This window comes from Homo sapiens, chromosome 20 (assembly GCF_000001405.40).
Source record: "Homo sapiens chromosome 20, GRCh38.p14 Primary Assembly".
Classification (NCBI taxonomy): domain Eukaryota; kingdom Metazoa; phylum Chordata; class Mammalia; order Primates; family Hominidae; genus Homo; species Homo sapiens.
Genome location: NC_000020.11, coordinates 57,575,095 through 57,589,992, shown reverse-complemented (window position 1 = coordinate 57,589,992; position 14,898 = coordinate 57,575,095). Strand labels below are relative to the sequence as shown.

The following is a 14,898-nucleotide window of genomic DNA, read 5'->3' as shown; positions in this document are numbered from 1 at the left end:
ACAGGGGACACCCCCACTGCCGGGACAGCAAAATCCCCAGTGCTGGATGGCGCTCACTGGGGGCAGGGGGACTGGTATTTTTCTCAGCACATGGGTGTGTTTAAATCTGGAGGCATTCCTGGGGGAGGGGGCTACTTGCAGGCCAGGAGCCCAGCAGGCCAGGGGCTCACAGAGGGCCACTCCCCCAGACGTGGTACCTCTGCCCTGGATACCTCCTCTCGCCTGGCGAGCCAGGCCCTGGTCAGAACACAGCCCAGAGCAGAGGGTGGGCAGTGGGGGTGGCCATGGCACACAGCAGGAGTGGGGCCTGTGAGGAACCTGCTGTGTGCCCAGCAGTGCTAAGAGCCTTACATGCTTGACCTGGAGGCAGTGGGCAGCAAGAAGCTGGGATGGACCAAGAGCCACACTGGCTGGGTCAATCCCAGCCGTGCCATGGTGCTCTCCTCTGCTTATCCAACTCTGAGCCAGGTTCACAGCAGCAGACACAGGCTGGGATCACACAGGTGGCAAGTGGCTGTGCAGGATGCCAGCCTGGGCAGTGCAACTGTGGGGTCCTTATGCTCCCCATGACACACCCCGGCCACCAACAGCCTCAACCGTGGCCACCTCCAGGTGTGTCATGGGGGTGTCAGCAGAAACGGTGCAGCCTTTGGGCGCCTGCTTCAGGGGGATCTTGGCTTTCTGCCTGTGAGAAGGAAGCAGTAGGGGCGGTAGTGTGTGGTTGTTAAGCACTCATGCTCTGCTGTTTGAGAGACCTGAATTCAAATCCTGCCTCCCTGTGTGGCCTCAGGCAAAGGTCTGGTCTCCCCATTTATACAGGGAAAGCACTGATAGCCCCTCCTTAATGGGGCATGCTGGGAAAACACCACTGTCTCGGCGTGCACAGCCTCATTTTCATCCTCCTTACTGGTGCCCTGATTCCCTGGACACATGTTCAGGGTCTGGGCTGCATCCAGCGTTCGAGTCCACAAGGAGCATGGGATCAGGGGTAAGGAGGACCAATCATAAACCCAGCTTGGTCACTTATCCTCTCTGGCTTCAGTTTCCCCATCTGTAAAGTGGGACTCAGGAGAGGCTTGCACCTGTCACAGCTCACCAGGCACAGGGCTCCACGCTAAGCCCTCCACATGTGTTTTCTCATTTAATTCTCACCATGACCCCACGAGCCAGCTATGGGCATGAGAGGTGGCCCCCACCTCCCATGGCTGTAGGGAAAAGAGCACGGGCAGAGCTTACAAGGGCTGGAGATGCAGTATAGGTGGCTCTATCACCATCCCGAAGACAGCGAGGCTGAACCCCCTGCCAGGCCTCCCCAGGACATAGTGGGGTCTGCAGGGCCAGCTTGAGGGTCCAAGCTCACTTGAGTGGGTGCCCCTTTTCCATCTTGCTTCCTCTTCACTCCTGCTTAATGTTGGGCAACATCAACCTCAAAAGCCTCGTTAAAAGACCAGGGCTGTTTAGGACAAATCGGTGGGCGGGGGGGGGGCCTGCAGGGTGGTGGGGGCTCCTTCCGTGTCTGTGGCCCTGAGGTGGCGTGTTCTGAGAGGCTGGACTGGGCAGCTCCCTAATGCAGCAGTTTCACAGTGGAAGCCAAATGAGCTCATCCTGGTTGAGCATTTAACACAGTCCCTGGCTCGTAGCACCCAAAACACATTGGTTATTTTTTAAAGATCCCTTCCGGTCCTAAATCGTATGACTCTGTGGCTTTGTATATGTGCATAGCATGAAGAAGGGACACCCAGGCGAGAAAGTGCTGAAGGCTTAGGATTAAGTGAGAGACCAATTAAGAAGTGAGTCTAGATGCTCCCTGGCCCCAGCTGCTTCGTTGCTAAGACATCTGTGGGAGTGTGATAAGATGGAGAAATTCACATTTATTCGAGCCCCTCTCAGGGTCAATTGTTTGTGGTTGTAAGGAATTCCAGGATAAATTACTTGAGCTGGAGATGAGGCCTCTTTCCTGAAGATGTGCCAAGACAACAGCACATACCACCTCAGACGTCTTCTAAGGAGGTACAGCCATGCCCCAAAGGGCTTTGGTTTGGCTGAGCAAGTTTGGGCTGAGCAGAATTGCCCAGGCCAAGGAAGGAGGCTGAAAATTCTGACAGCTGCCTTCTCCACCCTTAGTCTAAATTCATCCCATGCCTCCTGTGAATTCAGGATACATACTTAGGATGCCCAAGGGGCAATCTGCCTGGGGGGCACCCTCCCCTCAGTCTGTCTGAGATTCAGCCCCAAATTAAGAGACCCCTTTCTGTATGGAGAAAGATGGGAGAAAAGTAGGTTCCTTATGGTTAAAGTTCCACCAGCAGCAAGGAAACATCTCTTTTCTTTCCAGAAGAATCCACAGGGTAGAGAGTTCACTACCCTCTCCTGAAGTTGCCAAGGAGGGCACTGGGGCCACCTGGTGCATCCACAGTGTGTTCCCAGGAGTCCCTGCTCAAGGACAGGCTGAAAGGCACTGAGCTGGCGGTCAGGGCCTGGGACTCTGATCCAGCCCTGTGTGACCTTGGTAGGTCCCTCACCCCGTCAGGCCGCACCACAATAACATCACGTGATGCTCTCTAAGCTGTCACCCTCAGAGTGTATGCTCTGTGGACAGGGCCATGTCTGTCCAGTTCACCATTGTATCTTCATGTGTACAACTGTGCCTATATGTGGTAGGTGCACAATTAATATATGTTGGATCAGATTGAGTAAAATCAAAGATTTTATCCCCTTCCAGAGACAAGTGTCTGTTTTCCTTCTCTACCTGCCAGCCCTGAGAAATCGCACTCCTGTGCTCAGTGAATCCGCACCTACCTTTCCAGTCAGACCTGCTTCTTTACCTGGCCCATCGCAGGTATCTCCTACTGAGCTCGGAGGGCCACCTTGCCAGCTGATGGCCAGACACGGTCATTCCCACCGCCATCCCTTTCTCCGCGGCAGTCCTCCTGCCTGGTATGGCGTCTCTTCAGATCCTTTCCATTCTACAGCTCTCCACTGAACTCCATATTTCTGCAAGTCCTAAGCATTCCCCTTTCCCCACCACCCAATCCTTGCCCGTGTGTCCTTGTGTTGTAATGGAGATTGCTTTCCTAGACATGTGAACACTGCACACAATCAAATGATGAAAATATTTTAAAATGCTATTTTAAAATAATCACCTACTTTTTAAATCAGTTGCTGGTGTTAGCATAACTCTGTTCTCCATTGTGAACATTCACAGGGAGCCCACTGGTGTCCCAGCCAAAGCCCTTTTTGCGCAGCAGGGTGGCCTGCCTTGGGGGCTTCCATCTTTGGGTGGCAACCATTGTCTGAAAGCTTTGAAATGCAACGGTGAAATGCAGCTATCTTTTTTTGCCCCGCTGAGCTTTAGATGTTTCGGAGTCAGGACATCACAGCCAGGGTGTGGGGTGAGCTAGCCTCTGCCTGATCATTCCTTCCAGGAACAGAGGTTCCCCGAGTACCACAGTTGTTGCTCGCTTCACAGGCCACAGGACTGGACTTTGCAGCGTGTGCACCACCCCTCCCCCACACCACCCAGTGGCCCTGGCTACTGCCCCAACCACTCCTCCCCAGGCTGCTCAGCCAGGCCTGTTCTCAGAGGGAGTCAGGTTCCCAGAAAGAGACTTGCCTCGGGAAAATGCAGGGTTGGGGAGGGGGGCAAAGCAGAATTGTCAAGGGGGCAGCCCCCCTTGAATGCATGCCACCCCCTCATTTTCACATGGACCCCTCGGCCCTGCCCAGCCAGCTTCCCTGGTGTTCCCCACTCAGGATGGTGCTGAGATCCACTTGCTGGCAGAAGCCAAACATCTAGGGGTCATCTTTGGTTTTTCTTCCCCTCACCCCCAACACCCCATCCATCTCCAAGTCTGTCGGCTCAACCCCAAATGTGGCCTGAATCTGACCCCTTTCCACCCCCCGCGCCCCCTTCTCTCCCCTGAAGCCTCTCTTCCCTGGGATGGAGACCCCTCTGCTGCCTCCCATTCCTCTCCCGCACGTCGTGTCTACACCACTCGCCTATGCCAGTGGTTCTCGAACTGGAGCATGCACTAGAACCTCCCGGGCCCACCTCAAGACCCACAGAATCGAGCTCTGGGGGTGGGCCACCCAAATCACTCTTTCAGACAAATTCCCAGGTGCTGCTGCTGTCGCTGGGGAAGAACCACAGCTGAAGAACCGCTGGTCTGCATGAAACCCCTGCCTACTTCAAATCATAGTCAGGACCAAATATAAACGGTGCTGCAGGCAGGGGGGTCAACACACAGACTCGGAGCCACCATGGAGCTCAAGTCCCAGCTCTGTCATTTCCTGTGTGTCCTGGAGCAAATGACTTAACGTCTCTGTACCTCGGTTTGATTTTCTTCTCTGCAATGGGAGCAATGATAGTGCCTCCTCTCTGGGATCACTGTGAGGACTAAATGAGCTAATTCTGTGTCTCAGACTGGGTTGTCCCAGGAGCAGACCAGGAGACAAGAACATGAGCGATCCCAGGAAGCCCTAGCAGAGGAGGAGGGAAAGTGAGCCAGGGAAGGGGAAGGCAGACAGCAACACAGGGCACCTTAGCCGGTAAGTTATCCCTGTGGGCTCAACTTTTCTTGGGAACTTTGGGAGCCAGTGAAGAGTGCACAATTAATAACCCTGAGATCAAGTTTATTCCAGCCGGGAGGTGAGGGAGCCAAAGTATTTATCCACCCATCTTGGCAGAGATTGATTGCAGGATGCTTCTAGCCAGGGACTGTGTGAACAGCCTGCCGGTGCATGGGAAGAGCAGCTACAGTGGTCTGAGAAAGTCTCCAAGCCCAGGAAGTGACAGGTGTTTGCTGCTGGTCACCACTGGGTGAATGGTGAGGGCACACAAGTTGGTACCAAAAATATCAGTTACAACATGCAAAGCACTGGGTAAGAGCCTGTGTAGTACCCGCTCTTCTTACAATTCCCTGACCAGGGTCCCCATGGTCTGATCCCCTCACCAAAAATCCTTCAAGAGCGGCCCCTCCCATTCCAGCCTCCCCATCCCCTGACCTGCCTGGGCCACCCCCAGCCTAGAGCTTTTGCACCGGCTCTTCCCTCTGCCTGGGGCACCGTTCCCAGCTCTCATAGCCCTCAGTACCCCCTTCCTCACTTCTCAACCTCACCTCCCCTGATCAGAGCGTACTTTCCCATCTCTTCTCTCTGAAGCCACCCTACCAGTCACTTTCAATTCCATCTCCCCTTTGACTCCCTGCCTAGCACTTTGTAATCTCCATGTCTGTTTCTCTGTCTGGTGGCTCATGGTCTATCTCCACCTACTAGTCTGTTTCACTCCAGGATTCCACAAGCTGTAGTGTTTACTACCCTGTCCCCAGCATTTAGCAAGCATATTGTGAACACTCATTGAGTGAATGAAGAAATGGATGGATGGATGGATGGATGGATGGATGGATGGATGGATGGGCATGACTGACAGTCAGAGGCAGCAGTGTCATCTAAGGAGCACAGGTCCAGGATCTGGTACCTCAAGACTTGAATCCTAGCTCATTCCTTCCCCTCACATCCCTCTGACCCTCAGACCCACACCTGTCACTCCAGGGGCATGAGTGATCCCCTGACCTTGGGAGTTGGGCAGATTAGCCTCAACAGTGCAAGTGGGAGCTCCTTCTATAATAATTGAAGAAACTCATGGAACCCACTTATTTGAGAACAGCCTGGGCAGAACCAACATCTGTTCCCTTTTCCATCCTGGGCAGTCTCAGAGCCTAGAGGACTGGTTAGGGTTCAGTGTGGTGCGTGGAGCAGAGACTCAGGGGCAGCATGGCTTAAATGAAACAGAAGATGACTTCACCTTCATGTAACAGAAGCCCAGCTCAGCGTGGTCAGGCAACTTCTAGAAGTCACCAAAGACCAGACCCCTTCTACCGTGTTGACCCTCCATCCTCAACACAGAGCTTCTGCCTCATTGTCCAAGGCAGCTGCTTGTGCTCCAGCCATCATGTCCCACCTTCAGTCATCAGGAAAAAGGAAGGGATAAGCAGGGTTTTGCTTCTTCCTGTAAGGACACTTCCTGAAAGACTTCACACAAGACTTCTACTTACATCTTACTGGCCAGCACTTGGTCACACTCCCATATGACCAGGAGCTAAAAGTCAGGGGCCTTGTTAGCAAAGAATATGGGGAGAATGAATGGTGTGGTGCAGCCGGCAGCCTTGCCTTGGGAACCTTTCCAATGAGCCATTTGATTGCTCTATGATTCGTCTGCTCTGCGCCAGGGCCTGGAGCCACAGCAGGGAGCAAGTTCAGGAACCCCCCACCTTGAGGGGCCCACATGCCAGTGGGGGACAGTGAAGAGGACAAGTCAATACGCACGCAGTCACGATGCTTGCTAGGCCAAGTCCTGTGGGGAACACGGCAGAGGGGTAAGAAAGAGCATCGGAAGAGCAGGGGTGAGAGCCTACCCTAGCGCAGGGAGACAGCGAGGGCCCTTCTGAAGAGGTGACATTGGGACAGAGGCTCGAGGGATGAGAAGGGGCCACTGAGCATTTCAAGGACTAGGAAGTGCCTTGCGTACCCCAGGTCAGCTGCGGGTGGGCTGTGTACCCCTGGGCAAGTCACTGGGCCTCTCTGAGCCACAGTTTTCTCAGCTATGCAATGTGAGCAGCAGCCGTGCTCTCACCGGGTTGTGGGGTAGAAGGCTTTTTTGTGAGAATGTGTGTCTCCATGAAGAAATGAGGCTCAGAGAGCCTGAGAACCCTGCACTACATCAGTAGATCTCAGCTGGGGTAGATTTTGCCTGCCAGGGGTCACGTGCCAATGTCTGGAGACATTTCTGATCGTCGCAACTGGGGAGGGGGCTGCTGCTGCTGACATCTAGTGGACAGAGATGGCGGTGAGACTGAACATTCTCTAGTGCACAGAGCAGCCCCCACACTGGAGAAGCACACAGCCCCTCATGACAGCAGTGCCGAGGCGGAGGAACCCTGCCCTCCACAGCCAGGAGGTAGACACAGGGCCATTCACCGGAAGCCCACTCTTCACTGTGTTCCAGAGCCCCCACCCCAGACCCCTCAGCCTGTGCCCTTGGCAATAGGATCTGTCTGCTTTTTAAACAAACATCTCCAATGACTCAGACATCCACTGAAGTTTAAGGAGAACTAAACTTCTTTGTTTATCAAGTACCAGGCACGTAGTAGCCACCACCTCCCACCAAACCAAAATCCATTACAAGTTTAAAGTACAGCTATTATTTTTACAGCATTGCTTAGAAATGGCTTGCGATCTCTAATTTGCTAAATTGATGCGTATATTGACTAAATAAATATTCGGCACGAAGCCCGAGTTCCCCTCCACACTTATTAATCCTCAGGAAATGGAAACACAGGACACAAAATGAGCTTTCGCTCAGAGCTGCAGACAGGAATACATTATGTTGTTTTTCAAGCGTTCGGGGACTTGACTTTGCAGCAGAGACGGCCCAATCACCAGCCTCCAAGTTTTCCATGACGCACGCCTCTGCCCAGGAGACGTGCCTGTGTTGCTGAGGTCCCTTCTTGGACTTTAGAAGTCTAGGAAAAGAAACTTTTACTTCAACGGGGGGAATCTGAGGTGACTGTTTTTTGGGGAGTTGTTTTGAGGGGAGTTGATGGATGACAGCAATATTCGTACATAGAAATCAGGGCTGCTGGCAGGACCTACAAAGTGAAGACCCTGGGACAGGTCCCTTTCTTCAACAACTGGGGCTATTAGTGCTCTCGGCTCTGGGGAGAGAAGGCAGGGCTACCTGGACTGGGTGGGGGGCACTGTGTCTTCTGTCACCAGCCTGCCCCGGATGGAACAGCATACGAAGGGACTAGAGTACATGGGACAAGATTTGCTCTAGCTTGTCCCACCTGCGGAGACTTTGACCTCTGGGATGTTGATGAGTCCTGGGGGCTGGTCTTGTACCAGGATGGACAGGGGCTCCAGATACCAGGGGAACCCTAGTGGTGCTGGCCACCTCTGTCCTGTGTTAACTTCTAAAGCCTCCTGATCCCACGGAACACTTGTCTGTGGTGGGGGCTAATGGCAGTGAAGCAATATGGCCCAGAATTAGGAAAGAAGTTCATGCTGAGTTGGGAAATGGGGAAATGTTCTCCAAAAGAGGAAGAGGCACGAGTGTGCTTTTTGCCCTACTGGGGGAGTGTGAATCCCAAGAGGAGCTGGCATTTCACATCATCTAGCCTCTGCCCAAGGCCAGCCCAGAGCTTCCTTCCCAGACAAGATGCCAGGCCACTCCGGAAGAGAGGATGATTCCACAGGCTTGAGATGAAGGCTGGTCTCCTCTCTGCCCCCGACCTGTGGCATGACCTTGGGCAGTTCCAGTGACCTTGCTGGGCCTCAGTTTCCTGGTCTGAAGGATGAGGTTCGTGATGGGACCCCCCTGGTGACCGTGCCCAGCACCTAGCCCACAGCAAGCTCATCACTCTCAGAGGCAGCAGCCATTCCTTCTACCTGGACACAGCTGCCAACAGAAGGGGCTGGAGAATGGAATCCAGGCAGAAGGAACAGCCAGGACAAAGGTCCTGGGTGGGACCTGATCCCAGGCAGTAGATCAGAGCATGGTTAGCAGGTAGGATGGTGGCCTGGGGTGGCAGCAGAGAGGTGGCCAGGGTCAGATGACACTGGGCCTCGTGACCACCGGAAGGAGAGTGCATTGCATCCTGAGAGCAGTGGGCAGCCATGGGAAGGTTCTTAAAAAGGCAGCTCTGGGTCCCAGCCTCGGCAGCCCCAGGAACACGCGGCAGCCCGGTGGGGAGGGCAGATCGTGGGGACTCGGCTCCTGAACTCAGCCACAAAGATGAGCTGCCTTCCCCAAGGGCTCGTGAGAGGACAGCAAAGGCTGTGTCCCAGGACCAGTGGAGACTTGGTGAATTGAGAAAAGGTGGGGGGGGGCGGTCTCCTGGTGAGATGCCACTGCACTCACCTGAACAGGTGTCATAAACACCGCTGGCAAGGATGAGGACAGAGCGCCAGAACTCTCATCCGCTGCTGGCAGGAATGCAGAGGCACAGTCACTTGGAAATCTGTCTGGCAGTTCCTTAAAACGGTAAAGCCTATGTCTGCCTTGGGACCCAGCCCTTGCACTCACAGGTGTTTACCTGAAACAAAAGCACCCAGAAAAACCCTTGCAGGAATTCACAGCAGCCTCTCAGAATAGGCAAAAGTGGAAATAGCCCAGGTGGCCATGAAGGGTGGAATGGCCCATACCATGGCGGCAGACCCTTGCCATGGGGGACGGCGCAGCAGAGCAGGACAGGGAGCTGCTCCCAGCTCAGCCACGCAGAGAAAGCTGAGCAAAACAGGCAGACAAGTCCACGCCCTCCACAGAAGTCCACATGCTCCAGTGAGAGGAAGAAGAGCAGTGGCTGCGTAGGGCTCAGGATGGGGGGTGAGCAGGGAAGAGTACAAGGGAACTTTCTGGGGTGATGATGGGGCGTTCTAGACCTTGATCTGGGTGGTGATTATACACAGTTGTCCAAACTCCTCCCATGTTCCACTTAAGACCTGTGCATTTTACTGCAAGTAAATGATGCCTCAATAAAACATAATCCTCAACATGGGGTCCGCGTTTGGGTCTGGGGTCCACGATCTGCTCTCCTCCCTCTTCTGAGCTGCCCAGATTTCCCAGGCAGATGCTGAAGTTATGAGCAAGTGCGGTGCCTCATTCCAGGGCCGAGGGCTTCTGAGGCCACCACGCCTGCCTTCCTGCCCACATCCATCTTGTTATTGTCGGAGCCGGGGAATTGCTCCTGAGGCGGAATCTTGAATATTCATTTGATTTACGGCCTGCTGCCGACAGCTTTATGAATCCGCCCACCAATACCTGCAGCCGGTCATCAATCTTCCCTGGAGATTGTGCTTCTGCCAGTAACTCATGAATTAAAGAGGCCCCTGACGGCCCCCACGCCTGCCTCCCCTCCCATGCTGGAGCGTCGTGATGGAAGGAGGACCTGACCAGAAGTCAGAACATTGTTGTTTTGCCGCCGCGGCAGCTCTGATGACCTTGGGTGACTCTCTTTGTCTGCAGGAGGAGGAGAAACTCAGAAGCCCTCAGATCTGCCTCCTCCCAGCCCCGAGCCTCAGTTTCCCCATCCATAGAGATGCAGGGCACAGCACCACCTCCCTCTGCTTAACTGGGCCGGGGGCCAAGGCAGGACGGACTGCCAGCTTATACGAATGTGGGATGCCTGCCACTATTGTTATGATTATCTGACTTGGAGATGTTCGAAGGGACAAGAAAGATGGTGGTGCTCACGGCTCATTCCCCATGGTTGTCTCATTGACAGCATGGGAATGAAGACAGCATTTCCCTCGGGCTTTCAGGGGAGACCATGGGAGGGGGCTCAGCACAGCCCCTGGCACCTGGGGCAAACTCCATAGGGAGTACATATTCAGATTTTGCTCCAGGAAGGAGAAGTGGGGCAGGCTTTCGCTCTGGCCTTGGGAAGCAGCTCCAAAGTGTTTCCAGAGCTGACTCCTGGGCAAGTACCCCTGGCAGAAAACCATAGCATGTGCGGTGGCCTCAGAAGCCCTTGGTCCCAGTTGGACTGTGTCTGGCTTTCCCGTGAGTCCCCCAGCCCCTGCTGTGGAGACGGCACTCAGTAGATGCTCCAGGGTTGGTCCCAGTTGGACTGTGTCTGGCTTTCCCGTGAGTCCCCCAGCCCCTGCGGTGGAGACGGCACTCAGTAGATGCTCCAGGATTGGTCCCAGTTGGACTGTGTCTGGCTTTCCCGTGAGTCCCCCAGCCCCTGCGGTGGAGACGGCACTCAGTAGATGCTCCAGGGTTGAGCCAGCCTTTACCAACCGGTAGACACTGGTAACATCTGCAAAGCAGTTGGGGCCAGCAGATGGAGAGAGTGGTGGAGGCAGTGCCTCTGGGCTCAGACACATTGGGGTTCAAATCCCACTCTGTTCCTTAGGATCCCAGTGACCTTGGCTATCTTGGCCCCCTAAGCCCGGTGAGCAGGACACAGGTGATGGCTGCCTTAGAGGGTAGACTGGGCTCGGAGAGGCAGCCTGTTGGAAATGCCTTCTCTGCTGGTACACAGGAGCCCTTGGGAGGGTCAGCTCCAGTGGGTGTCACCAGGCAGTGTTCTGGGCACCAGAGTCAGAGGAGGTAAGGACAAGACAGCTCCTGCTCCTCGGGGGTTCACTCAACAAATGTTCATTAGATGGATGACAAAGAGCTCTTAACACTTGTCCCCGGGTTTTGCCTGTGAAGAGAGTTGTGAAGGACACATGCAGGGGAACCCCCTCCCAGGGACTAGCTCCCACCCATCCCTCAGCAAGGTGGCAGCCTCTCCCGGGATTGCAGTTTGCCACAGTGGTGGAGGAGCTGTCAGGCCTCAGGGTGCCCTTCCTGGGGCTGAATGACAGCAGATCGATCCTCGCTTCTCCTGGCTCTTCAGCCTCCCGCAAAGTGCAGCCGCAGCCCTTCAGCCAGCATGCAGCAGTGGGACTCCTCTGCCCAACAAACTTTTCCCTGCAGAATTCCACTACACACAGGAGACAAGTACTGCACGGAGCCCACATTTATTGAGTGCCGAGAGTATCCAAAGCACTTGGTGTACACCCCTTCTGTGAGTCTTCTCAACCCTGTAAGTAGGAAGAGGGAGTTGAGACACAGAGAGGTTAAGGGACTCACTCAGGGTCACACAGCTCAGAAGTGCCTGGCTGACAGCGGAGCCCACTTATCACCCCTAGGCCCACTGCAGTCTGGCTCCAGCTGCTGCCTGCTGATATCAGGGTTCGAGATGAGACTTCTCTCCCTGAAACTAACCATGTGACCTGGGGAGAGTTACTTTGCCACTATGAACCTCAGTCTCCTTCTCTGCAAAGTGAGAAGACTGAGACCCGCCCCCAGTTGGGATGTTGACTGAATTGACTATGAGGAAGCACCTGAAGCCCCAGCGCAGTGCAGTGCTGGGCCATGGGGTGCTCAGCTGCACACCCCTCTCTCCCCTTCCCCACCCCTTTGATGTGAACCTGGACTCCCTGTGCATGGGGAGTCACGGCCAGAAAGAAGGAGGCCAAAGTTTACTGGAAGAAAGGCCTCAGCTTCTGGGAACGGCACTTCCCAGGGGGGCCCGGTTTCTGATCCATGGACTTTTCACCTTGGCACCAGCAACCTGACCACGCTGGCAGTGTTTACCCCGTGGGAAGAGGAAAGGCCTAGGTATGTGCAGAAGGGTGTGCTAGGGCAGGTCAGAGCCAGGGCATTTGGACCTGGGTCACTGACAGCCCCTGGCCCCTGGAGCCTGAGACACAGGTCCCTTTCCCAGTGCTTCAGCCAAGCTCTCTGTCCCCACCCTCCTTCACATCTTGTTCTCCAGGCTCAAAGATGCAGAGATAGATGATGATAAAAGCCACTGCCCCTCTCCTAGGAATTTGCACCCAGGGTATAGACAAGAGTTAAAATCCAAGCTCTCACCTTTGCTAGCTGTGAGAACCTCTCTACTGCCTCATTTCTGGAATGGGGCACATTCCAGAAGTCACAGTGTTGAGGGAAGGATCTAAAGAGATTGTGCCTGGAAAGGCCTTGACATACCTTATCTCTCAGTGAGTGGGAGATGTTGTCACTATAATTATGGATGCTTAGGAAATGTTTACTTACTAGATGGATGGGCAGGAGATGAACTGATAGACGGTCGGATGGAGGATGGATGATGAATAGATGATGGATGGATGGACGTGTAGGTGGGTGGCTGCATAGATAAGTAAATGGAGATAGGTGGACAGATGGATAGTAGCTATGCACTCATCCACTATCCATCTGTCTATTCTCCACCCACTCATTCACCCCTCCCATTATTCATCCATCCATCCACCCATCCATCCATCCATCCTTCCATTCATTGATATGCCCATCCATCCAGCTGTGTATGTGGGGAGAGTGGGTAGATGGATGAACAGGTGAACAGATAGATGGATGAGTGGATAAACAAATACATAGGTGGATGGCTGGCTTGGTGGGTGGATAGACGGTGGGTGGATAGATGTTCAGATGGACAGATGAATGAACAGATAGAGAGATGAATGAATGGACAGATGGATTGCTGGATGGCTGGGACCACAAACTAATTGCCTCCTTCCTGAAAGTGACAGAAAACAATTGCTGAAGCTCTCTCCCGATACCACATACATTAACCTGGCTGCAGGGGGCCAGAACACTGCAGCCCTTCCCAATCTGCTCATTAACTGACTCATGGAGCTTTCACCTATTCAAAACCAACAGGGTAGCAGCGTGACATTTCAGATTTCCTTTCCTTGGCCTTTCACTGAGCATGGCTCACAGCTGTTTGCTGGTCTGCCTTCTCCAAAGGTGCCTTCAAGGCCCTCACATGCAGTAATGGATGCAGCTTCCCCCAGAGCTAAGGGGGTTGTGTGCCCTAAAAGGTTGGGGGCTCCTTCCCTCCGGCTGCCTTGCCACATTCTCTCTGCAGCAGTGCCACCAATTACCTTAATTACCTTTCAGTTAGGGGCTTAATTTACAACATGGTGGCAAGGAAGTATTGAAGAGAGAGTTTCCTTGGCAACCCAAGTTTTTAAACATAAGATTCTCCATGTTTTAAAAGCCACTTCTCATCTAATTTCCTCCCTGAAAATTAGCTTGGGACTTTTCAAATACTGGAAATTTTAGCCTAACGGCAGGGTAGCACTTACATCTGAAACCATCAAAGACCTCAATTTCTCCCCTGCCAGAGGCAAGACCCTGGGAAGGTGTTTGGTTTCCTCTGCCCCTTTGTTCTGAAATGGCCATTAAGAAATGACCATGGGGAAACTTTTTCTGAGCTCCAAACCATCAATCAGTCAAACTCTTGACAACAGCCTGTTTTCTAGACTTGTGTTGTTCAAGTTCCTTGTTGGCTGGAGTTTTAGCCATGAGCACTTGATTGATGGCAGACTGCAGAATAGCTAGAGGGTTAGGGCCTGTACTCCATGGCGTCTCTGGCCCCCATATCCCCAAGTTGAGAAGAACAGCACTGATAACCACCCCCAGTGCAGAGGGCATACAATACCAGAGGAGCTTTTGGAAAAGGCCACTCTCCCTGGGGGCTCGCTCATCATCCACAAGCTTCTCTACCTCCCTGTCTAACAAAATCAACCCTTGCTCAGTTACACGGCATGGTTTTTCATAATCTGCCCTAGCATGGGAGGGGGCCACACTACCTTTCTTCTGTTCCCACTTCCACACCCTTTAATCTGACCAAACCTCTCATCCATCCTTTCAACCTCCAGCCGTCTACACAGCATCTACCTCTCTACTCACCCTCTGTTGATTCTCCAACCACTCTACCTCCATCCACCCAATCCTCACGCAGATCCCATAATCCGCTGGAATGCCTACAGTTTTCCAGTTATATCTTGACTTTCCAAATATGATGTTATTTTATGAGAGTACTCAAACACTGCTTCCTCTGAGGAGCTTTCCCTGATGCTCCTTCTCCTTCCTCTGAAACTTTGAAACAACCTGTCTACACCTCTCAGGACACCTAGCTTGTCTGCTATGTCTGGGTGCAGTTATTTGTATCCTGAGGGCATGTGGAAAAACCAGGCAGGGCTAATTCAAACTCGGCTCTCACAGATGGGGAGCTATGTGTCCTTAGTGATAAGATGAAAGGATGGATTGAGGATGGATGCAGGGTTGATCATTGATGGACTGGATGGAGATCAGATGAGTGACTTATTGGAGGTTGATGGACCATTAGATGGATGTACAGATGGATGACAAGCATCCAGAGGCATAGATAGTTGGAGAATATGAGAAAGAATAATTAAATGGAAGAGTAAAGGCTGGAACAATGAATACAAGGGTGGATGAATGGATGGAAGGAAGGAAGGATGGATGGATGGATAGATGGACAGAAGGATGGATGACTGGATGGATGAAAGGAAGGAAGAAAG

The 14,898-nt window shown here is 53.3% G+C and overlaps 1 annotated feature.

The window, feature by feature from the left end:
- Window positions 3,366-3,660: an enhancer, noted in NCBI's record as "tiled region #2062; HepG2 Activating DNase matched - State 1:Tss, and K562 Activating non-DNase unmatched - State 7:EnhWF". NCBI's record gives its function as "activates a minimal TATA promoter and a strong SV40 promoter by Sharpr-MPRA in HepG2 and K562 cells {active_cell/tissue: HepG2 | K562}" and the evidence as "EXISTENCE:reporter gene assay evidence [ECO:0000049][PMID:27701403]".